Genomic DNA, 22,823 nt, shown 5'->3' on the forward strand with positions numbered 1-22,823 from the left:
TAGACCCAGGGCACTGTGGTGAGCCCGAGTGCAGGGCTGCTGCTCAGAGGCCGGCCCAGGCGCCCCGCAGGGAGAGGGCTCACCACAGAGCGCCAGGGGAACTGTTCTTCCAGCGCCAGGGAACGGAGCAACACCCGGCACACCCCAACACTCCCAACAATCACAGAGATGGCAGACCACAGACCACAGAATATGAGAACGACTTTATTTCAAATTGCTTTGAACTGCGTTGGGAAGTGTGCAAATGCAGAGGAAGAGAGGAAGCCCTGGCTGAACAGGATATGGAGGGAACCCGCTTGGCTGCAGCTCCGGAGCTCCAAAGGTGGCAGCTGTTCATCTTGTAGGAAGATGCTGGCTCCAACCTGTGAAACAGAGTAGGCTCAGGGACGGGCCCTCAGCCAGGGCCAGCCCACAGCCCTCCTAAGGTACCATGATTGTGGAAAGGGGCATGGTGTGTGCAACACTCACTTCAAAGGTCCTGGAACTTGTCAGTGAGGAACTGCATGGCCGCTGAAAGAGAGAGGCAGAAATGGGCACTCCAGACCCAGGGAAACAGAAACCCACGCCCTGCCCCGGTGGGGAACCACCTAGCCCTGCAACCAGAAACCCCACCAGCCCTGGGACTGACTCATCCACGCGTCACCTGAATTAAATGTAGAAATGCCTTCTAAGCAGGAAAGTGGTTCTCAGGTGCTGGGGCATCCCAGAACCTTTCAGAACGTGTTTCAAAGACAGATAAGCCAGCCAGCAAGCAAACACCATACAAGCCCTACCAGGCTTGTAGGGAAAACACATGAGGTATCTCTAACCGTCGTAAGAGGAGAGTTCTGGGACTCGTGGACTAAGTGTACATGGAGTTCAGACAACACATTGCTGTCTGTGCACACCCCTAGCTGGAAAGGCACAGAAGGCTCCAGGGCCAGGCCTGCTTGGTTCTCTTCCCCAAAGGAAAGTCAGTCCCAGTGATGCCGCCTGTACCTACAGTCCACCCTGCCCCCGGCACCTGCAGAAAGACACTGCTGTCCATCCCTGCCCCAGCCAGGGCTCCCTCATACCTAGTTGGTCTCTAAGGTCCTCAATTTCCCTCTGCAGCCGGATGCACTAGTCCAGGAGACACCAGAGGAAGATAAATGGTTAGTCAATTCTGGCCTCCTCTCTCCCTGTCCTCCCTGTCTCCCCCAACCCTTAGTAGCCCCCATAGCCTGCAGCCCAGTGGCGAGGTGGGTTGGCACAGAATCCTCAATGGAAAGGAGGCACCCTCTCTCCCTGGGGTGCAGAAGGTGGAGGCGGCGGGGGTCGGGGGGTATGCAGCTATCAGTTTAACCTAGACACAGATCCCACCATCTAGTGTGGACCTGGATTTCTAGGAGCCACACAAAACATTACCCGAGGACAGCCCTGGGCTCCCGGGGGCTATTGCTGCCTTTCCGGTCTTGGGGGATGGACAGGTGGCTGCCAGTCACCTGAAAGAGAACACAAAATCCAGCTTCCAAGCCGCCCAGTGAGGTGGAAAAGGCCTAGCAGGGTCTAAAGTGAGGCACCATCACCCTCTGCTGGCAACATGTTGCCCCTGCTCTGCCCAGCATCTCCAACCCTCCCTCTGTGACTGTCTTCCCTGTTCCCCAGTATGAGCCCATCTGCACCTGTGGCCCCCTAGCGTTGTGACTCCGGGTTGGACACCAGCAGTGGGGCAGCCACAGCCAGGCCCTCGGAGGGCCAGTGTGGCTGAGCAGGACTTAACAGAAAAGGGCTCAGTACTGCCGAAAGTCTTCCAGAGTTGGAGTTTGGAGCGCTGCTCCAAATCGCCCCCCACCACACAAACCCCACTCAGAGAGGATGATGTGGCTTAAAGCCAGCCCTGTCGACACCCCATTTCCCATGGGATACCTGCCTGGGTGGGCAGGGAAGCCTGGGAACAAGGCTGAGCCCCCAGAAGCGACAGAGCCAGAGGTTTCCCTCCCGACCCCTCTCCCCTCCACTCCTATCAAACCCGCAAGACTCACCAGAGGGTGCATGGCGTCTGGGCACGAGGCCTCCCAGGCTGTAGGCAGAGGGCTCTGAAGTCCCCAGAACTTGGGGAGCTCTGATGTTGGAGTCGCTACTGCTGAATTCTCCACGATGCGTGGATAGGCGAGGCAGTCCTGGCCGGTGTGTGGGAAGCTAAAACAGAAATTTCTGAGTCGGGCTGGCGGTGGGGGCGGGCAGTGAGTACATATGGGAGGGGTTGTGGTAAGATGGAGACTCCAGAGCCTAATCTCATTAGCACTTTCTCCCCCAGTCAGCCCCAGGCCAGGAGGCAGAGCCCAGCCAGGGAAAACACTGGGGATAGTGAGATAGCCTGGGCCCCTTTCCAGGTGGCTCGGGCAACAGCTAAGTAAGGAGGAGTCGGGAAGTTGATGAGCCTAGATGCCCCAGGTTTGCGGCCCACACTTTAAGGGATCACCCCAACCTAACCAGCTGCCAGCCCTGCCTTCCATCCCAGCTCCTCTCTGGGGGAGGAGGTAGGACCCCTGCAGAGTGTCCGGAGGTTTGCCCGTCACACACCAAGTACTCCCTTTAACGTGTGCCCCTACAACGAAGACCCTGATTGGGCATTCTAGTGTCCCTGGCCTTCCGATAACAACCCTTGAGCAAGGGACATAGGGGGCATGGGTAAACAGGTGTGTGCTGGAAGAGAGGAGGCTGGGGGGAGACCAGAGGAGGAGGAGGATGAAGAGGGAGAGGAGGGTGAGAAGGGCCTACTTACTTGGGCCCTTGGGACCTCATCTCTATTTGGGTCATTATCTTCTCTCGCCACAGCCTGGGACTCCCTGGTCTTCCTTCCTGCTGGTTTCTTCCCAGGGCTGCTGTGCTTAGGCTTTTGGGGTTTCTTGGACATCCCCTGCGGCCGCACACCAGGCAATGGCTGGGAGGTGGCCGGCCCTGGGGGAGTGGCTGAGAGTCTCTCTCCGCAGGCAGGAAAGGGTCTCCATAGGGCCAGTTGAGAGGCACCCCCTAGAGACTTCTCCTGGGCCATCTTCCTCTTAGAAGGGCCCCAGGGCAGGGCCCCTGCAGTGGCAGCTCCTGAGCAGCTGGGCCTGGCCTCCACCTTTCCCAAGGCCCTGCTCAGCATTTTCTTCCCGGGAGAGTCCTCCAGCTCTCCCACAGCCGGCCTCTCCACGACTGGAGTGAGTCCGCGGGGAGCAGAGGTCAGGAAACGGCCTGGCACGGGCAAGTAACTCTCCTTGCAGTGGAAGCTTGAGTGTCTGGATGTGTCTGCTGGCTTCCTGTGGCTGCCGAACTTGGCTTGGCTTCCTTCTTTGTGGCGAATGCCCATCCTCATCAGTGGTAAGTCACTGGTCTCATCGGAGGAATCAGAGTCGTGGGTAGACATCCTGGTGGGGCCTATTACAGAGGGCTGCTGGGGGTCCACGCGGACGCTCCATCTGCTCTTCGAGCCCCTTTCTGGGTTCTTCCAGGCCCGGCCTGGTTCAGGAACACTGAGGTGGAGAGGGCCGGCAGAGGCCTGCTGCCATTCTCCAGGGCTGGGGCTCAGCATGCCTCTCCCACTGGGACCGACCTCCAGGTCCACCCAGTTTTCAGCGGACCCTTCAGTAGTGGCGTCTTCAGGGAACGGGTGTCCCTGGATGCTGGACGGTGGCACGATGGCGGCTGTCTCATCAACCAGGTAGGACGAGTAGTCCACACCGTCCCCTTGGTCGTCGACCGGGGTGCTAGGCCGGCCTTCCTGGCCCCAGAGCACCACCCTTCCCTGCTCTATCAATTCGCTCTCAGACTCGAAGCTGAAGCCCTCGGGATCTGTGAACCTGCTCTCGCCCTTGCTGCTGTGTGGTGCCCCCAGATCGAGGCCTCGGCTGTGGCCCTGTGGGGCTCCGGGGCTGACTGTGCAGGTGCCAGCCTGCTCGCCACCCCCCAGGTCGAAACCAGCCCTCCAAACGGACACCTCATCGGGGGAGCTCATGGCGCCAGTTCAGGCACCCTGGCCTATGGGGAGATGGTCGAGCCCAACCAAGCCCAGCCAAGCAGGCCACGGGACAGGAACAACAAGGCCTTCAGGACACCGTGGCCCTCACGGCAGGTGGAAGTACCGTGTTCCCGACAGCGGGTGGCTTCCGCGCGCCTTCGACACCCGTGTCGAGCCTTCTCATTGGTCCCCCCTCCACCAACCAGCGCCCCCTTTGTTGGGTGAAGCCTCTGGGCTTTAACCAATAGGGACACAGGCTCTTGGTTTGTCCCGCTGCCCGTCATTTGACTGGGTGGATGCACTCTGGTCGGGTCTTGGGGCCAGGGTGCACTGGAGCTCTCGATCCACTTCTTTCTTTCTGTCTTGCTCCCTCTGGCCGGGCACCTACTTTTTAATGATAGCTCCTCTGTGTGCCAGGTGCTTCTCGTGCATCAGGACATTTATTCTCCCAAGCTGATGAGCTGGGGGCAGCTCTCCCCTTGACTTCCGCCTTACAATGGGACACTGGGGCTCAGAGACGTGGCTGTCATTGGAAAGTAGGTGCCTGGCCAGAGGCAGCAGGACAGGAAGAAAGAGGTGGATGGAGAGCTCCAGTGGGCCCTGGCCCCAAGACCTGACCCAAGTACAACCACCCAGCCAAACCACGGGCGTCCGGGCAATCCAAGAGTCTGCCTCCCAATTGGGTAAAGCCCAGAAGCCGCGCCCAACAAGGGGCACGCTGATTGGCGATGGGCAGACCAATGAGAAGGCGTGGAACAATGAGAAGGCAGGACGCAGGCATTGAGGGAGCCCGGAAGCCACGCGCTGTCAGTGACATCTCGTGAGCAGACTGTGGTGAGGGTGGCGGTGTCCCAAAGGCCTTGCTGTTCCTGTGGCCCCAGAGCACCACCCTTCCCTGCTGTATCAATTCGCTCTCAGGCTCAAAGCTGAGAGTGGCCCCCTCGGCTGGGCTTGGCTGGGCTCGGCTCTCCTCTCCCACTGTTACCAGGACGACTGTCTCCCCACAGCCTGGCTGTCTAGACTGGCGGGCGCCATGAGCTCCACGGATGAAGTGTCCGTTTGCAGGGCTGGTTTAGGCCCAGAGGGTGGCGAGCAGGCCGGCGCCCACACCGCCAGCCCGGGAGCCCCACGGGGTGACGGCCACGGCCGAGACCTCAATTTTGGGGGGCAGCGCAGTGGCAAGGGTAAGGGCAAGGGCGAGAGCGGGTTCACAGATCCCGAGAGCTTCAGCTTCGAGTCTGAGAGCGAATTGATAGAGCAGGGAAGGGTGGTGCTCTGGGGCCAGGAAGGCCGGCCTGGCACCCCGGTCGACGACCAAGCGGGTGGTGGGGACTACTCTTTCTACCTGGCTGATGAGCCAGCCACCATCATGCCGCCGTCCAGCGTCCAGGGACACCCGTCCCCAGAAGGCGCCACTGCCAAAGGGTCCACTGACATCTGGGCGGACCTGGAGGTCGGTCCCAGTTGGAGAGGTGCGCTGAGCCCCAGCCCTGGAGAATGGCAGCAGGCCTCTGCCGGCCCTCTCCACCTCAGTGTTCCTGGGCCAGGACCGGCCTGGGAGAACCCAGAAAGGGGCTCGAAGAGCAGATTGAGCTTCCAAGTGGATCCCCAGCAGCCCTCCGCGGAAGGCCCCGCCGGGCTGAATACTGACGACTCTGATTCCGCAGATGAGAGCAGCGACTTACCGGTGATTAGGGTGATCATTAGCACCAAAGAAGGAAGCCAGGCCAAGCCCGGAAGCCCCAAGAAGCCAGGAGACACTTGCGGACGCCGCAGTTTCCACCGCAGGGAGAGTTACCTTCAGGTTCAGGGACCTCTCCTGATCTCTCCTCCCCGCAGACTCACCCCAGTCGTGGAGAGGCCGGCTGTGGGAGAGCTGGACGTGCCTTCCTTGAAGAAAATGCAGAGCATGGTGTGGGGAAAGAGGGGGGTCAGGCCCAGCTGCTCAGGAGCTGCCGTTAGAGGGCCCCTACCCCGGGGCACTCTGGGAAGGAAGGTGGCCCAGGAGAAGAAATCCCTAGAGGGTGCACCAGAACTGGCCCTGCGGGGAGCCTTTCCTGCCTGGGGGCAGAGACTTTCAGCAGTTCCACCTGATCCGGCTAGCTTCCCGCCAGTGTCTGGCGTGGGGCTCCTGGGGAAGTCCGTGAGACCCAAGGAGCCCAAGCACAGCAGCCCTGGGAAGAAACCTGCAGGAAGGAAGACCAGGGAGTCCCAGGCTGCGGCCAGAGAAGATAATGACCCAAATAGAGATGAGGTCCCAAGGGCCCAAGTGAGTAGGTTCTCTTCGCGCACTCCTCCTTCTCCTCCTTGCTCTCCTCTTCCTCTTTCTCCTCTGTCTCCCCCCACCCACCTCTCTTCCAGCACACGCCTCTTTGCCCATGCCCTCTCTATCCCTTGCTCACAGGTTGTCATCGGGAGCCCAGGGACACTAGGATGCCCGATTGGGGTCCTCCTCTTAGGAGCACACATTAAAGGGAGCACTTGGTGTGTGCCAGGCCTGGCTCTGGACACTCTGCAGTTGTCCTGCCTCCTCCCTGAGAGAGGAGCTGGGATGGAAGACAGGGCTGGCAGCTGGTTTGGATCAGGGCGCAAAGCTTGGGCATCTAGACTCATCAACTTCCCAATTCCTCCTTCCCTAGCTGTTAAGCAAGCCCTCCTGTCTTGGGGTGGACTGAGGGAGAAAGTGTTAATAAGATTAGTCTGGGGTCTCCACCTTAACACAACCCCTCCCCATGTGTACTCACCGCCCGTCCCCACTGCCAGCCTGACTCAGAAATTTCTGTTTTAGCTTCCCACACAGAAGCCAGAGCTGATTTCTCTGTCCGTGCGTCGTGGAGAATACAGCAGTGGTGATCCCAACATCAGAGCTCCCCAAGTACTAGGAACCTCACAGCCCTCGGCCTTTACCTTGAGACGCCTGGTGCCCAGATGCCATGCATCCTCCGGTGAGTCTTGCGGGTTTGATAGGGGTGGAGGGGAGAGGGGTCCGGAGGGAAACCTCTGGCTCTGTCGCTTCTGGGGGCTTAGCTGTGCTCCCAGGCTTCCCTGCCCACCCAGGCAGCTGTCCCACAGGAAATGGGGTGTCGACAGGGCTGGCTTTAAGCCACATCGTCCTCTCTGAGTGGGGTTTGTGTGGTGGGGGCGATTTGGAGCAGTGCCCCACATTCCAACTCTGGAAGGAGACTTTCGGCAGTACTGAGCCCTTTTCTGTTAAGTCCTGCTCAGCCATACCGGCCCTCCCAGGGCCTGGCTGTGGCTGCCGCACTGCTGGAGTCCAACCTGGAGTCACAATGCTAGGGGGCCACAGGTGCAGATGGGCTCACGAGGGAGAACAGGGAAGACCGTCCCAGAGGGAGGGTTGGAGATGCTAGGCAGAGCAGGGGCAACATGTTGCCAGCAGAGGGTGATGGTGCCTCACTTTAGACCCTGCTACGCCCTTTCCACCTCACTGGGCGGCTTGGAAGCTGGATTTTGTGTTCTCTTTCAGGTGACTGGCAGCCACCTGTCCATCCCCCAAGACCGGAAAGGCAGCAGCAGCCCCCGGGAGCCCAGGGCTGTCCTCGGGTAATGCTTTGTGTGGCTCCTAGAAATAGAGGTCCACACTAGATGGTGGGATCCATGTCCAGGTTAAACTAATTTCGGTGTCTCCCCAATCCCCTCTGCCTACCATACCCCATGCAGAGTGAGTGCCTCCTTTCCATTGAGGGTTTTGTGCCAATCCACCTCACCACTGGGCTGCAGGCTATGGGGGCTATAAGGGCTGGGGGAGACAGGGAGAACGGGGAGAAAGGAAGCCAGAATTGACTAACCATTTCTTTTCCACTGGTGTCTCCTGGGCTAGTGCATCTTGCTGCAGAGGGAAATTGAAGACCTTAGAGACCAACTAGGTATGATGGAGCACTGGCTGGGGCAGGGATGGACAGCGGTGTCGTTCTGCAGGTGCTGGTGGTGGGGGTGGACTGCAGGTATAGGTGGTGTCACTGGGACTGACTTCCTCTGGGGAAGAGAACCAAGCAGGCCTGGCCCTGGAGCCTTCTGTGCCTTTTCAGCTAGGGGTGTGCACAGACAGCAATGTGTCGTCTGAACTCCGTGTACACTTTGTCTACAAGTCCCAGAGATCTTCTCTTAGAACGGTTAGAGATACCTTATGTGTTTTCCTTTAACTGCTGCCTGGTACTGCTTGTATGGTGTTTGCTTGCTGGCTGGCTTATCTGTCTTTGAAACATGTTCTGAACGGTTCTGGGATGGCCCAACACCTGAGAACCACTTTCCTGCTTAGAAGGCATTTCCACATTTAATTCAGGTGACGGGTGGATGAGTCAGTCCCAGGGCTGGTGGGGTTTCTGGTTGCAGGGCTAGGTTTTTCCCCACGGGGGCAGGGCGTGGGTTTCTGTTTCCCTGGGTCTGGAGTACCCAGTTCTGTCTCTCTGTTTCAGCTGCCATGCAGTTCCTCACTGACAAGTTCCAGGACCTGTGAAGTGAGTGTTGCACACGTCATGTCCCTTTCCACAGTCCCAGTAGCTTAGAAGGGCTGTGGGCTCACCCTGGCTGGGGGCCCATCCCTGAGCTGCTCTGTTTCACAGGTTGGAGCCAGCATCTTCCTACAAGATGAGCAGCTGCTACCTTTGGAGCTCCGGAGCTGCAGCTAAGCGGGTTCCCTCCATATCCTGTTCAGCCAGGGCTTCCTCTCTTCTGCTGCATTTGCCCCCTTCCCAACACAGTTCAAAGCAGTGTGAAATAAAGTTGTTCTCATATTCTGTGGTCTGTGGTCTGCCCTCTCTGCGATTGTTGGGAGTGTTGGGCGGTGCGGGGTGTTGCTGTGTTCCCTGGCGCTTGAAGAACGCTCTGTGGTGGACCCTCTCCCTGTAGGGCACCTGGGCCGGCTTCTGAGCAGCAGCCCTGCAGTCACCATAGTGCCTGGGTCTAGGTGCTGTGGGGGCCCTGCCCTGCCCTGCCACAGGAGCATTTTCTGCCTTTTCCCAACACACCCTGCTCATGTTCCCTCCTCTTCTCATCCTACTTTGGGGTCTCACAGGTCCCGTTGTTCAGCGCTACTCTCCCTCACCTTCAGGAGGAACTGAGTGCCTCCTTTCAGAACCCCAGTCTCTCTTGCCTTTCCTCCTGTGGTTCACTGTGACAGTTCTGCCATGTCACTGTCCTTTCTGTCATGAGCATCCTTACTCTCCCTGCGGCTTGATGTTGGTGGCCTCTCCTGTATGGTTATTTCCATGCTGTTGAGGAGCATGACGGAGCTCATCCTTCCACTCGGGCCCAGTCCTCTTTCTGGAGCCATTATGTCCCTCTGGTGCCACCACGCATACAGTCAGTTCATCTTGGCCAGAAACCCGCGCGACATCCTCAGTTCCTCTATTAGCCCTCATCTTTGAACCTCTGTTGCCACATCCCATCAGGTCTCCCTCCTTAGTTTCAGTAGCCAGATGGAAGCAGATGCCACATCCCGGTGGGTGGCCGAGCAAAAGGGAAGGCACAGGGAGCGCTGAAAAGGGCGGGGTAGTCTCTTGGTTGGAGGTGGGGGCATTGAGTCTGTTCTGGTGCCTGTGGGCCAACCTGGTGAAAACTGCCTGCTGGGCGCCTGTAGTCCCAGGTACTCGGGAGGCTGAGGCAGGAGAATCACTTGAACAATGGAGGCAGAGGTTGCAGTCGAGATTGTGCCGCTGCACTCCAGCCTGGTGACAGAGCAAGACTCCGTCTAAAACAAAAACAAAAACAAAAAAAACTTCCCACACTTCCCACTGGCAGCTACATGGAAGGTGGCTTCCACCTCCTTGATGTCCTGTAGGCAGCCAACAGCCCCTTCTGCAACTGGTTGGCTTCATATCCTTGATTTGAAAATGGCCAGTTGCCTTCCAGGGCAAGTGTGGATGCTAGGCCTGGCTGTTCTTGGATGGTCCCCGTCAAATACTGTTCCACCATCCCCAAAGCTGCAGGTTTTTGTAGACGTGATATTTCTGTGTGCCTGTTCAGTCTTTCAGACCACCTCTTGAGGTCACATGAGATTTCCTTGAGCTTCCTGTTCTGCCTTCACCCTCCCTGACAGTTGGGATTGCCTCCTTCCTTCAGCCTGAATCCAGGGCTGTATGGGTGTGAGACACAGACAGATTCTGTTTCCAGTGATGTAAGTTCTGCCAGCTCTGAAAGCCAACAGCCTGAGTGTTGAACAGACAAAGACAGGAGAAATGCAGATACCATTCAAGATTAGTATATGTGTGGAGACGTCTGTGTTTTTTTTGATTTGCTTGTTTTTTTTTTTTTTTTTTTTTTTTTTTTGAGACGGAGTCTCACTCTGTTGCCCAGGCTGGAGTGCAATGGCACAGTTTTGGCTCACTGCAACCTCCGCCTCCTGGGTTCAAGCGATTCTCCTGTCTCAGTCTCCCAAGTTGCTGGGTTACAGGTGTGCACCACCACTCCTGGCTAATGTTTGTATTTTTAGTAGAGATGGGGTTTCACCATGTTGACCAGGCTGGTCTTGAAACCCTGACCTCAGGTGATCCGCCGGCCTCGACCTCCCAAAGTGCTAGGATTACAGGCGTGAGCAACCGAGCTGGCCAAGTCATGGTTTCTACACTGGAAGAAGTGATATTGAGGTGAACGGTCAGCTTCCACACCATCTTGGGTTCCATGGCAGAAGACCTGTTCCTGATTCAACCCACAGGAAGCATCGTGAGTGCCTGAGGGGAGAAATGTCCCAGAGGACAGCCAGAGACAAAACGGGGAGGCAGAACTATCATCCTCAGCCCTGGAACCTCTGCTGTGTAACTCAGCCAAAGGAGATGCCAAATCAGAGTGGCCGTTTAGCAGCGCCACACTGTTAGTGGGATGTTCCACGAGCCCCGTGGGCACAGACCCTTAGCCAGCTAGCTCTTCCATACTGGCAAGATATCACCTTTGGGACCTCCCTCATTCTGGATGGGCAGCACTCTGATCATTTGCTTGAGACAAGGTAAAGTTGGGCTTAAGGCACCATCTAATGCTGTAAAGATGGTAGTGGCCTAGCAGAAAAAAATGACATTCAACAGGTAAATTACACAAAATCTGTAAGCAAACATAAAAATCCAAACAAGCCAGACAGAGAAGACTAGAATAAATAACGAATCCTTTAGGTATTTTATTTTATTTCTGGCTGTTGTGAACGAGATTACTTTATCGATTTTTTTTCAGAGTGTTCACTGTTGGCATGTAGAAATGCTAGATTTATGTGTGTTGATTTTCTATCCTGCAACTTGCCTGAATTTACTCATCAGTTTGAAGAGTTTATTGGTGGAGTCTTTAGGTTTTTGCAAATACAAGATCATGTCATCTGCAAACAAGCAGAAAGATAATTACCAGAGGCTGGAAAGGGTAGTGAGGGGTGAGGGAGAGGTGGGGATAATTAATGGGTCCAAAAAAAGATATTTAGATAGAATGAACTGTCGGCTTCCCTGGTTTTGAGACTTTCAGACTTAGACTGAGCCACTCCAAGCTTCTCCCTTTCTCCAGCTTTCAGTTCTTCCCCATTCAGTATGATACTAGCTGTGGGTCTGTATGTCCTTCTATACCCAGTTTTGTGAGGGCTTTCGCCATGAAGGAATTCTGAATTTTATCAAATGGTTTTTTCAGCATTAATTGAAATGATCATATGGTTGTTATCCTTCATTCTGTTGATATGGTGTATCACATTGATTGATTTGCATATGTTGAACCGTCCTCGGATCCCTGGGATATATCGCACTTGGTCATGATGATGACTGAATGCCTTTCCTCTAAGACTTGGAACACAACAAGGTGCCCTTGTTCACCACTTTTGTTCACCATGGTACTGGAAGTCATAGCTAGAACAATCAGACAAGAGAAAGAGATAAAAGGCCTCCAAATTAGAAAGAAAGAAGTCAAATTATCAACGTATTGTTGAATTCGGTTTGCTAGTATTTGCTGAAGGTTTTTGCATCAATATTCATCAGGGAAATTGGCTTGTAGCTTCCTTTTTTTTTTTTTTAAATGTATCTTTGTCTGGTTTTTGGTATCAGGCTTATACTGGCCTGGTAGAATGAGTTTGGAAGTATTCCCTCTTCCTCTGTTTTTCAGAATAGTTTGAGTAGGATTAGTATTAGCTCTTCTTGATTATTTTTTGTTCTTTTTTGATGTGGGTACTTTTAGATATACACTTCTCTCTTTGTACTGCTTTGGCTGTATCCCATAGGTCTGGGTATGTTTTGTTTCCATCGTCATTCATTTTAAGAAATTTTTAAAGTTTTATAGTTTCTAAAATGTCTGTAGTTATTGATCTCTAGTTTTATTCCATTGTGGTCAGAGAAGATGTCTAATATTATTGGAATTTTTTGAATGTTTTAAAACTTGTGACCTCTCCCTCTCCCTCTCCCTCTCCCTCTGGCTCTCCCTCTCCCTCTCCCTCTCCCTCTCGCTCTCTGTCTCCCTCTTTCTACCGTCTCCCTCTCTTGCGGAGCCTGGACTGTACTGCCATGATCTCGGCTCGCTGCAACCTCCCTGCCTCGGGCTCTGGTGATTCTCCTGCCTTGGCCTGCCGAGTGCCTGGGATTCCGGGCACGTGCCGCCACTCCTGACTGGTTTTTGTGTTTTTGGTGGAGACGGGGTTTTGCCCTGTTGACCGGGCTGGTCTCCAGCTTCTGGCCTCGGGTGATCTGCCCGCCTCGGCCTCCCGAGGTGCTGGGATTGCAGATGGAGTCTCGCTCACTCAATGCTCAATGTTGCCCAGGCTGGAGTGCAGTGGTGTGATCTCGGCTCGCTACAATCTCCACCTCCCAGCCGCCTGCCTTGGCCTCCCAAAGTGCTAAGATTACAGCCTCTGCCCGGCCGCCACCCCATCTAGGAAGTGAGGAGTGTCTCTGCCTGGCCGCCCATCGTCTGGGATGTGAGGAGCGCCTATGCCCGGCTGCCCCATCTGGGAAGTGAGGAGCACCTCTGCCCGGCCACCCCATCTGGGAGGAAGTGAGGAGCGCCTCTGCCCGGCCCCTAATGGGAAGTGAGGAGTGCCTCTGCCTGGCCGCCCCTGTCTGGGAAGTGAGGAGCGCCTCTGCTCGGCCGCCACCCTGTCTAGGAAGTGAGGAGCGTCTCTGCCTGGCCGCTCATCATCTGGGATGTGAGGAGCCCCTCTGCCTGGCCGCCCCGTCTGGGAAGTGAGGAGCGCCTCTGCCTGGCCGCCCCGTCTGGGAGGAAGTGAGGAGCGCCTCTGCCTGGTTGCCCCGAATGGGAAGTGAGGAGCGCCTCTGCCCAGACGCCCCGTCTGGGAGGTGAGGAGTGCCTCTGCCCGGCTGCCCCATCTGGGAGGTGAGGGGCGTCTCTGCCTGGCCACCACCCCGTCTGGGAAGTGAGGAGTGCCTCTGCCTGGTCGCCACCCCATCTGGGAGGTGAGGGGAGTCTCTGCCTGGCCGCCCTGCCTGGGAAGTGAGGGGCGCCTCTGCCCAGACGCCCTTCGTCTGGGAGGTGTGGAGCGCCTCTGCCCGGCCGCCCTGTCTGGGAGGTGAGGGGCGTCTCTGCCCGGCCGCCCCATCTGGGAGGTGGGGAGCACCTCTGCCCGGCCGCCGCCCCGTCTGGGAAGTGAGGGGCGCCTCTGCCCGGCCACTCTTCGTCTGGGAGGTGAGGAGCGCCTCTGCCCGGCCGCCCTTCGTCTGGGAGGTGGGGAGCACCTCTGCCTGGCCACCCCGTCGGGGAAGTGGGCACCTCTGCCCAGCCACCCCATCTGGGAGGTGAGGGGCATCTCTGCCCGGCTGCCCTGTCTGGGAGGTGAGGAGCGCCTCTGCCTGGCTGCCCCGTCTGGGAAGTGGGGGGTGCCTCTGCCCTGCCGCTCTTCGTCTGGGAAGTGGGGAGCGCCTCTGCCCAGCCGCCCCGTCTGGGAGGTGGGGAGTGCCTCTGCCTGGCCGCCCCATCTGGGATGTGAGGAGCACCTCTGCCCGGCCGCCACCCCCTCTGGGAGGTGAGGAGCGCCTCTGTCTGGCCGCCACCCCGTCTGGGTAGTGAGGTGTGCCTCTGCCCGGCCGCCCCGTCTGGGAAGTGAGGAGTGCCTCTGCCAGGCCGCCCCATCTGGGATGTGAGGAGTGCCTCTGCCAGGCCGCCCCGTCTGGGATGTGAGGAGTGCCTCTGCCAGGCCGCCCCGTCTGGGATGTGAGGAGTGCCTCTGCCAGGCCGCCCCGTCTGGGATGTGAGGAGTGCCTCTGCCAGGCCGCCCCGTCTGGGATGTGAGGAGTGCCTCTGCCAGGCCGCCCTGTCTGGGAAGTGTACCCAACAGCTCCGAAGAGACAGCGAACATCGAGAACGGGCCATGATGACGACGGCAGTTTTGTCGAAAAGAAAAGGGGAAAATGTGGGGAAAAGAAAGAGAGATCAGATTGTTACTGTGTCTGTGTAGAAAGAAGTAGACATAGGAGACTCCATTTTGTTCTGTACTGAGAAAAATTCTTCTGCCTTGGGATGCTGTTAATCTATAACCTTACCCCCAACCCGGTGCTCTCTGAAACATGTGCTGTGTCCACTCAGGGTTAAATGGATTAAGGGCGGTGCAAGATGTGCTTTGTTAAACAGATGCTTGAAGGCAGCATGCTCGTTAAGAGTCATCACCACTCCCTAATCTCAAGTACCCAGGGACACAAACAGGGCCAAAGGCCACAGGGACCTCTGCCTAGGAAAACCAGAGACCTTTGTTCTCGTGTTTATCTGCTGACCTTCTCTCCACTATTATCCTATGACCCTGCCACATCCCCCTCTCTGAGAAACACCCAAGAATGATCAATAAATACTAAAAAAACAAAACAAAACAAAATTAGCCGGGCATGGTGGCGCATGCCTGCAGTCCCAGTTACACAGGAGGCTGAGGCAAGAGAATCACTAGAACCCGGGAGGCAGAGGTTGCAGGGAGCTGAGATCATGCCACTGAACTCTAGCCTGGGCAACAGTGGAGACTCAGTCTCAAAAATAAATAGCCAGGTGCGGTGGCTCACCCCTGTAATCCCAGCACTTTGGGAGGCCGAGGTGAGCGAATCACAAGGTCAGGAGTTCGAGACTAGCCTGGCCAACATGGTGAAACCCTGTCTCTACTAAAAATAAAAAAAAATTAGCTGGGCATGGTGGCGCGTGGCTATAATCCCAGCTACTTGGGAGGCTGAGGCAGGAGAATTGTTTGAACCCAGGAGGCAGAGGTTGCAGTGAGCTGAGATTGCACCACTGCACTCTAGCCTGGGAGCCCGGGTGACAGTGCAAGACTCCATCTCAAAAAAAAAAATAAATAAAATAAAAATAAACAAACAAACAAACAAAAAAACTTGTGACCTCACATGGTCTGTCCTTAAGAATGATCCGTGTGCTGAGGAAAAGAACGTGCATTCTGCAGCCATTGGATGAAATGTTTTGTAAATATGTATTAGATCCGTTTGCTCTATAGTGCAGATTAAGTCTGATGTTTCTTTGTTGATTTCATGCCTGGAAATCAACTCTAATGCTGAAAGTGAAATGTTGAAGTCTCCAGCTATTATTGTATCGGGGTCTCTCCCTCTCTTTAGCTCTGGTAATATTTGCTTTCTACATATGGGTGCTCCAGTGATGGGTGCATATATGTTTATAATTGTTACATCCTCTTGCTCAATTGACCCCTTTATCATTATATGATGACCTTCTTTATCTCTTCTTATAGTCTTTGTCTTGAAATCTATTTTGTCTGACATAAGTATAGCTACTGGTTCTCTTTTTTGGTTTACATTGGCATGGAATATTTCTTTCCTTCCCTTTATTTTCCATCTATGTTTGTCTTTATAGGTGATGTGTGTTTCTTAAAGGAAACAGATCATTGGGTCTTTTAAAAATATTTATTCAGCTACTTTATGTCATTTGATTGGAGAGTTTAGCTCATTTACATTCAATGTTACTATCAATGAGTAAGGACTTGCTCCTTCCAATTTGTTATTTCCTTTCTGGTTGTTTTGTAATGTTCTTTTCCTGCTTCTTTTCCTCCTGCCTTCCTTTTAGAGAAGATGATTTTCTCTGGTGGTAAAATTTAATTTCTTGCTTTTTATTTTTTATGTATCCATTTTATGTTTTTCCACTTGAGGTTACCATGAGGCTTCCAGATACTATTTTATAACCCATTATTTTAAACCGATGACAACTTAGCACTGATTGTATACACAAACAAACAAGTGAAAAGATAACTTATGAAAATTTAACACTTTAACTTCATCTGCCCACTTTTTAACTTTTGTTGTTTCTCTTTATGTCTTATTGTACTCTCTATGACTTGAAGAGTTCCCATAGTTATTAATTTTTTTACACAATGCTTTTTTGTGTGTAGTTCGTTGTCAAAATTTGGTGTTCCTGCAGGGGGAACAACCAATGGAGGCTTCCATTCCAACTTCTTGCTCCACCCTCCCAATTGCATTCCTCAACTTCACAATTTCAGCTTGATTCCTTTTAACTACTTCAATGCCATTGTTAAATTTATCTGATAGATTTCTGAATTCCCTCTGTGTGTTATTTTGAATTTCTTTCACTTGCCTCAAAACAGCTATTTTGAATTACTTGTCTCAAAGGTCACATATCTTTATTCTCCAGGCCTGGACCCTGGTGCCTTCTTTAGTTCATTTGGTGAGGTCATGTTTACCTGGATGGTCTTGATGCTTGTGGCTGTTCATCGGCGCCTGGGCATTGAAGAGTTAGGTATTTATTGTAGTCTTTGCAGTCTGGGCTTGTTTGTACCATCTTTCTTCAGAAGGCTTTCCAGATATTCAAAGGGAGCTGGGTGTTGTAATCTAAGTTGTATCTGCATTAGGGGTATCCCAAGCCTAGTAACACTGTGGCTTTTGCAGACTTGTAGAGGTACTGCCTCGGTGGTCTTGGATAAGACCCAGAAGAATTCTCTGAGTTACCAGACAGAGACTCTTGTTTTCTTCCCTTATTTCTCCCAAACAAACAAAGTCTCAGTCTCTCTCTCTCTGTCTCTCTCTCTCTGTCTCTCTCTCTCTGTCTCTCTCTCTCTTTCTCTCTCTCTCTTGCTGTCTCTCTGTCTCTCTCTCTCTCACCCCCACCCCCATTTCTCGCTCTCGCTCTCCCTCTTGCTCTCATTCTATCTTGCTCTCTCTTCCTCTTGCTCTCTCTCTGTGCTGAGACACCTGGAGCTGCAGGTGGGGTGACACAATCCCCACTGTGGCCACCACTGGGGCCTTGCTGAATCAGGCCTGAAGCCAACACAGCACTGGTCTTGCCCATTACCTGGCTGTAACCAATACCTGACTACTGCCTATGTTCACTCAAGGCTGGAGGACTCTACAATAAGCAGGTAGCAAAGCCAGCCAGGCCTTTGTCCTTCCCTTCAGGGTGGCTAGTTCCCCCAGACCCCAGGTTGGCTTAGAGATGCCTCCGGGAGACAGGGACCAGAGTCAAAAATTTTAGAAATTTACCTTGTGCTCTACACTATTGCAACTAAGCTGGCATTCAAACCACAATACAAAGTCCTTCCCACTCTTCCGTGCCCGTTCCACAGGCAGAGAAGCCTCTCGCTGTGGCCACCACCACTGCAGGCCCACAGAGACTATTGCCAGGCTACTGCCTGTGTTCACTTAAGGCTGAAGGGCTTCTCAGTCAGCTTGTGGTGAATACTGCTAGGCCTGGGACTCACTCTTCATGGTAATGGGCTCTCCTCTGGCCCAGGGGAGGTCCAAAAGTCCTATGCAAGAGCCAGGGCCAGGACTCAGGTACCCCAAGCCCTCACTTGCTGCTCTGCCTCACTGTGGCCAAGCTGGCGCCTACGGTGCACGGCAAAGTCCCCTATACTCTTCCTTCTGCTATTCTCCCAGAGAAACTGTCTCTGCCCATAGCCACCACAGCTGGGAATGCCCTGGGTCTCCCCTGAAGCCAGCATGTCTTAGAGTCTCACCCAGGGCCCATGGTAAACTACCTGGGTATCATTGCAGGTTCCTCAGGGCCCAAGGGCCCTTTAGTCAGCAGGTGATGAATCCTGTCAGGGCTGAGTCCTTCCCTTCAAGGCAGCAGATTTGCTTCTGGCCCAGGGTGTGTCTAGAAATGTCATCCACAAGCTAGACCCTGAAATGGGGGCCTCAGGACTCTGCCCAGTGCCCTATCCTTCTGCAGCTAAGTTTATATCCAAGATGCAAGACAAAGTCTTCTTTACACTTCCCTCTCCTCTCCTCAAGTGAAAGAAGGCATCTCTCCTGGAGCTGCGAGCTGTGCTGCTGGGGTTGGGAAAGCCATGGTACATGTATTCCCTCAGCCACCTTGGCTGGTGTCTCACTAGGTCGTGTGCTCCCCATGTCCTCTGGCTCTGAGCCCAGCACAGCACTAGGAGTTGCAGACCCTGTGGCCTAGACCACCTTTCAAGTTTATTTATAACCCCTGATCTTGCAGTGGCGAGGCTTCCCAAAACCCAAGTTCTGACTTCTGTGATGTGTAAATTCCCTCTGGCTACGGCTGGTCTAAATGCTCCCTCTGTGGGCATCAGCCAACTTCAGACCAGTTTTGCTTTCTGCTGTGACAGGGCAGCAGTGAGTACAGTGCAAGTCCCATAGGCATTGGGTCATGGTGAGTAATCCCTTAATTAAACAGCAGAAAAACATAAAAAATTAATGTGCTATGAAATTTGGTTTGCTAGTACTTTGTTGAGGATTTTTGCTTCTATGTTCATCAGGGATATGGGCCTATAATTTTCTTGTAGTGTCCTCGTCTGGCTTTGGTGCTAGGGTAATGCTGGCCTTGTAAAATGAGTTTGGAAGTATTCCTTCTTCTTCAGTTTATTGGATGAGTTTGAGAAGGATTGATCTTAATCCTACTCTAAATGTTTGGTAGAATTCAACAGAAAGCCATCAGGTCCTGGGCTTTCCTTTGATGGGTGACTTTCCATTACTGATTCAATCTCTTCACCCAGTTTTTGTCTGTTCAGATTTTTTATTTCTTTACAATTCAGTCTTGGTATGTTGTATGGATAAAAGACATTTATTCATTTATTCTGGGTTATCCAATTTGTTGGCATACAATTGTTCATAATAGTCTCTTATAATCCTTTTAATTTCTGTAGCATTGGTTGTAATGTCTCTGATTTCATTTCTGTTTTTAGTTAGTCTTTCCTCTTTTTTTCTTAATTTAGCTAAGCATTTGTCAATTTTGTTGATATTTTTTAAAAAACCATCCCACATTTGTTGCTATTTTCTATTGTTTTCCAAGTCTCCATTTTATTTATTTGTGCTCTGATGTTTATTATTACCTTCCTTCTACTATCTTTGGGCATAAACTCTCTTCTTTTTCTCGTTCCTTGAGGTGTAACATTTGGTTGTTATTTGAAATCTTTGTTGTTTTTTGAGGTGAGCAATTACTGCTATAAACTTCCCCTTAAAATTGTGTTTTTCCTGCATTTCTCATGTCTTGGTATGTTGTGAGTCCATTTTCATTTGTCTCAAGATAGTTTTTAATTTCCCTTTTAAGTTGTTCTTGGATCAGTTGGTTGTTTGGGAACATGTTGTTTCATTTGTATTTGTGAGTTTTCTAAAATTCCTCCTATTATTGATTTCTAAATTCATAGCATTGTGGTCAGAAAAGATATTTGATATGATTTCAATCTTCTTAAATGTGTTGACTTGTTTTGTGGCCTAACATATAATCTATCCTGGAGAATGTTCAGTGTGCACTTGAGAAGAATGTGTCTTCTGCTGCTGTAAGATGGAACATTCCGTATATGTCTGTTAGGCCCGTTTGTTTCATCGTGTTCAAACCCACTGTTTCCTTACCAGTTTTCTCTCTGAATTTCCATTGTTGACAATGGGATAGTGAAGCCTCCTCCTACTGTTGTATTGCAGTGTATTTCTCCCTTCAGATGTATGATTATTTGCTTTACATATTTAGATGCTCTAAAGTTAGGTGTGTATGTGTTTATAATTATTATAGACTCTTGATGAATCGACCCCTTTATTATCATATAATGACTTTCTTTGTCTCATTTTGTAGTTTTTGACTTAAAGTCTATTTTGTCTCATACAAATATGGCCACACCTGCTCTCCTTTGTTTCCTATTTGAATGACATGTGTTTTTCCATCCCTTCACTTTTAGTCTATGTGTGTCCTAAAGGTGCAGTGGGTCTCTCATAAGCATCATATGCTTTTGCCTTTTTTTTTTTTTTTCCCCATTTAGACTTGCTATGTCTTTGGAGAATTTAATCCATTTACATTCAAGTTAATTCTTGATAGGCAAGGACTTACTGTTGCCTCTTTGCTCATTGTTTCTGGTTGTTTTGTGGATTCCTTGTTCCTTTCTTCTTTTGCTGTCTGCCTTCATGATCAAGTGGTTTTCAATAGTGATATGCTGCGATTCTTCACTTTTTATCTTTCGTGTATCTACTATAGATTTCTGTTTTATGAATACCATGAGGCTTACATAAAATATCTTATGGTTATAACAGACTACTCTGAGCTGATAACAACTTAACTTTGATTACACACAAAAACTACAATTATGCTCCTTAACTCCCTGTATATTTTATGTTTTTGATGTCACTATTTACATCTTTTTTAAATTCCATATCCCTTAACACATTTTTGTAGCTATACTTTCACAAATAGTTTTGTCTTTTAACCTTCATACTAAAGATATAAGTGATTTATACATCGTCATTACAATGAGTATTCTGGGTTTGAACATGTACTTATTTTACTCATAAATTTTCTTCTTTCATATTTTCTTATTACCAATTAACATCTTTTTCTTGGCCAGGTGCGATGGCTCGTGCGTGTAGTCCCAGCACTTTGGGAGGCTGAGGCAGGCTGATCACTTGAGCTCAGGAGTTGGAGACCAGCCTGGGCAACATAGTGAAACACTGTCTCCACACAAAATAGAAACAAACAAAAAAATTAGCTGGGCATGGCAGTGCATGCCTGCAGTCCCAGCTTCTTGGGAGGCTCATGTAGGAGGTTTACTTGAGCCTGGGAAGTCGAGGTTGCAGTGAGCCACGATCACACCACTGCACTCCAGTCCAGGTGACAGAGTGAGATCCTGTCTCAAAACAAACAAAGAAACATACAAAAAACAAAACCCAAATAACAAACAGACTCAAAAACCAGATCGTTTTCTCTCAGCTTGAAGAATTCCCTCTAGCATTCCTTGTAATGCAGTGAACTACTTTAGGAAGATTATTTTTAATTCCTTCTTAGAAAGTTTCTAAATCTCTCTTCTTTAGGGTTGATCAGTGAAGCTTTACTTTGTTCCTTTGGTAGTGTCATGTTTCCCTGATTGATTGTGACCTTTGTGGCTGTACATTGGCTTCTGTGCATTTAAAGAAGTAGGGACTTGGGCCAGGCGCGGTGGTTCATGCCTGTAATCCCAGCACTTTGGGAGGCAGAGGTGGGTGGATCACTTGAGGTCAGGAGCTCGGGACCAGCCTGGCCAACATGGTGAAACCCCGTCTCTACTAAAAATACAAAAAGTTAGCTGGGCGTGGTGGTGGGCGCCTGTAGTCCCAGCTACTCAGGAGTCTGAAGCAGGAGAATCACTGGAACCCGGGAGGCGGAGGTTATAGTGAGCTGAGATTGTGCCATTGCACTCCAACCGGAGCAACAATAGCTGCGGTTAGGAATAAACAACAATAGCTCCATTAGGAAAAAAAAAAAAAAAAAAAAAAGGAAAAAGAAAAACCAAAAAAGAAGTGGGGACTTGCTCCAGTGCTTGATGACTGGCTCTGGCTGGGAAAGCCCTTCACGGTTCAGTCCATCCAGAGATTCTGGGAAGACCATCTGGCATGGTGCATGGATAGACTTGCTGCTGGATTTCTTGGGAAAGCTGGCTTGGTGAGCAGGTATGGTGGAGCTGGAACCTGAGTTCATGGATTTGGGCCTGGGTCCTGGTGCCATGGGGACCAACCTGGCTATTGGGGCCAGTCTTGCCCTGGCGTGGGCCTGAAGCCCGAGGCCATGTGGGTCAGACTTCCTCTTAGCCTGTCTGGCGCCTGGCATGGGCCTGGAGCCTGAGTCTGAGAGGGCCAGCCTGGGGTCTGAGGCCAAAGGTGCTAGTGTGGCACTGGGCAAGCCTGGAGCCTTTAATCCTTGGGGGCTGGCCTGGAAGCTGGCTTTGTAGGTTCTGGCCTGGTGCTTGAGGTCACAGGGGTCAGCCTGGAGCTGGAGTGGGTACAGAGACTAGGTCTGTGGGTGCCAGCCTGAAGTCTGAAACTACAGAAGACGGCCTATCATTGAAGCAGACCAGGTCGAGGGTCACAGGGGTTGTCCTGACACTGAGGAGGATCTGGAAGCTGGGTCCACATGTCCAGGCCTGAAGTCTGGGGCTGTAGGGACTGGTCTGCAGGTGATGTCTGCATGTGTCAGCCTGGAGTCTGGGGCTCTGGAGGCTGGCTTGGAATCTAAGGCTGTAGGGCCACCTTGGCCCCATGGCAGGGCTGGTGGCTCATTCCATGGGTGCCAGCCCAGAGCCTGGGGCTGTGAGGCTAGCCTTGCCCCAACGCAGGCTTGGTTCATGGGTGTACCCAGAGTCTAGGGCTGAGGGAGCGGCCTGGCCATGGGACCAGTCTGGAGCCTGGGAAAACCAGGGCCTGCCTGGTGATGAGGTGGGCCTGGAGCCCGAGACTGTGGGGGGCTGGACCGGCACTGGGGTGGAGCTGAAGACAGTGTGCGTGGGTGACCTGGAGCCTGGGACTGCAAGGACAAGCCTGGAGCCTGAGTCTGTGGGGGTCAGCCTATGCTAAATTGATTTACAACAAGAGCGCCAAGGCCATTCGATGGGGGAAAGAATCGTTTCTTAAAGAAATGGTGCTAGGATAACTGGTTATCCACATGCCAAAGAATGAAGTTGGACCCCTACTTCATACCATATACCATATACAAAAATTAA

At 52.2% G+C, this 22,823-nt stretch overlaps 1 protein-coding gene and 1 pseudogene across 6 annotated transcripts, besides 4 other annotated features; one reads left to right on the top strand and one right to left on the bottom strand.

Moving 5' to 3' along the window:
- Positions 1-188: 188 nt before the first annotated feature.
- LOC100129291 (chromosome X open reading frame 49 pseudogene) lies at positions 189-4,097 on the bottom strand (annotated as a pseudogene). Its single transcript, NR_136576.2, has 6 exons — positions 2,747-4,097; positions 2,004-2,160; positions 1,387-1,463; positions 1,056-1,101; positions 469-510; positions 189-362 (listed from the first exon to the last, which is right to left on the bottom strand). The product of NR_136576.2 is annotated as a chromosome X open reading frame 49 pseudogene (transcript).
- Positions 489-608: an enhancer, noted in NCBI's record as "active region_29751". NCBI's record gives its function as "activates an Ori minimal core promoter by ATAC-STARR-seq in GM12878 lymphoblastoid cells {active_cell/tissue: GM12878}" and the evidence as "EXISTENCE:reporter gene assay evidence [ECO:0000049][PMID:35858748]".
- Positions 639-848: an enhancer, noted in NCBI's record as "active region_29752". NCBI's record gives its function as "activates an Ori minimal core promoter by ATAC-STARR-seq in GM12878 lymphoblastoid cells {active_cell/tissue: GM12878}" and the evidence as "EXISTENCE:reporter gene assay evidence [ECO:0000049][PMID:35858748]".
- A 642-nt stretch (positions 4,098-4,739) lies between the features above and the next one.
- Positions 4,740-8,721, top strand: LOC101059915 (chromosome X open reading frame 49-like). Of its 5 annotated transcripts, none has more exons than XR_938437.3 (6): positions 4,740-6,233; positions 6,753-6,909; positions 7,452-7,528; positions 7,806-8,097; positions 8,401-8,442; positions 8,548-8,721. XR_938437.3 is itself a non-coding variant. In NM_001323075.3 (6 exons), the coding sequence occupies exons 1-5, from the start codon at positions 4,998-5,000 to the stop codon at positions 8,439-8,441; spliced, it is 1,557 nt and encodes a 518-aa protein (NP_001310004.1). In that variant the 5' UTR covers positions 4,740-4,997; the 3' UTR covers position 8,442; positions 8,548-8,721. The 5 variants fall into 5 exon arrangements, 1 of the variants encoding a protein (NP_001310004.1); XR_938438.3 differs by having other exon boundaries at positions 7,806-7,851; positions 8,014-8,442; NM_001323075.3 differs by having other exon boundaries at positions 7,806-7,851.
- Positions 6,005-7,204: an enhancer, noted in NCBI's record as "CDK7 strongly-dependent group 2 enhancer chrX:70888661-70889860 (GRCh37/hg19 assembly coordinates)". NCBI's record gives its function as "activates an origin of replication core promoter dependent on BRD2, BRD4, P300/CBP, MED14 and CDK7 cofactors, with strong dependence on CDK7, by STARR-seq in HCT116 cells {active_cell/tissue: HCT116}" and the evidence as "EXISTENCE:reporter gene assay evidence [ECO:0000049][PMID:35650434]".
- Positions 7,351-7,430: a silencer, noted in NCBI's record as "silent region_20899". NCBI's record gives its function as "represses an Ori minimal core promoter by ATAC-STARR-seq in GM12878 lymphoblastoid cells {active_cell/tissue: GM12878}" and the evidence as "EXISTENCE:reporter gene assay evidence [ECO:0000049][PMID:35858748]".
- Positions 8,722-22,823: the final 14,102 nt, after the last annotated feature.

Source organism: Homo sapiens, chromosome X (assembly GCF_000001405.40).
Source record: "Homo sapiens chromosome X, GRCh38.p14 Primary Assembly".
In the NCBI taxonomy this organism is placed as follows: Eukaryota; Metazoa; Chordata; class Mammalia; order Primates; family Hominidae; genus Homo; species Homo sapiens.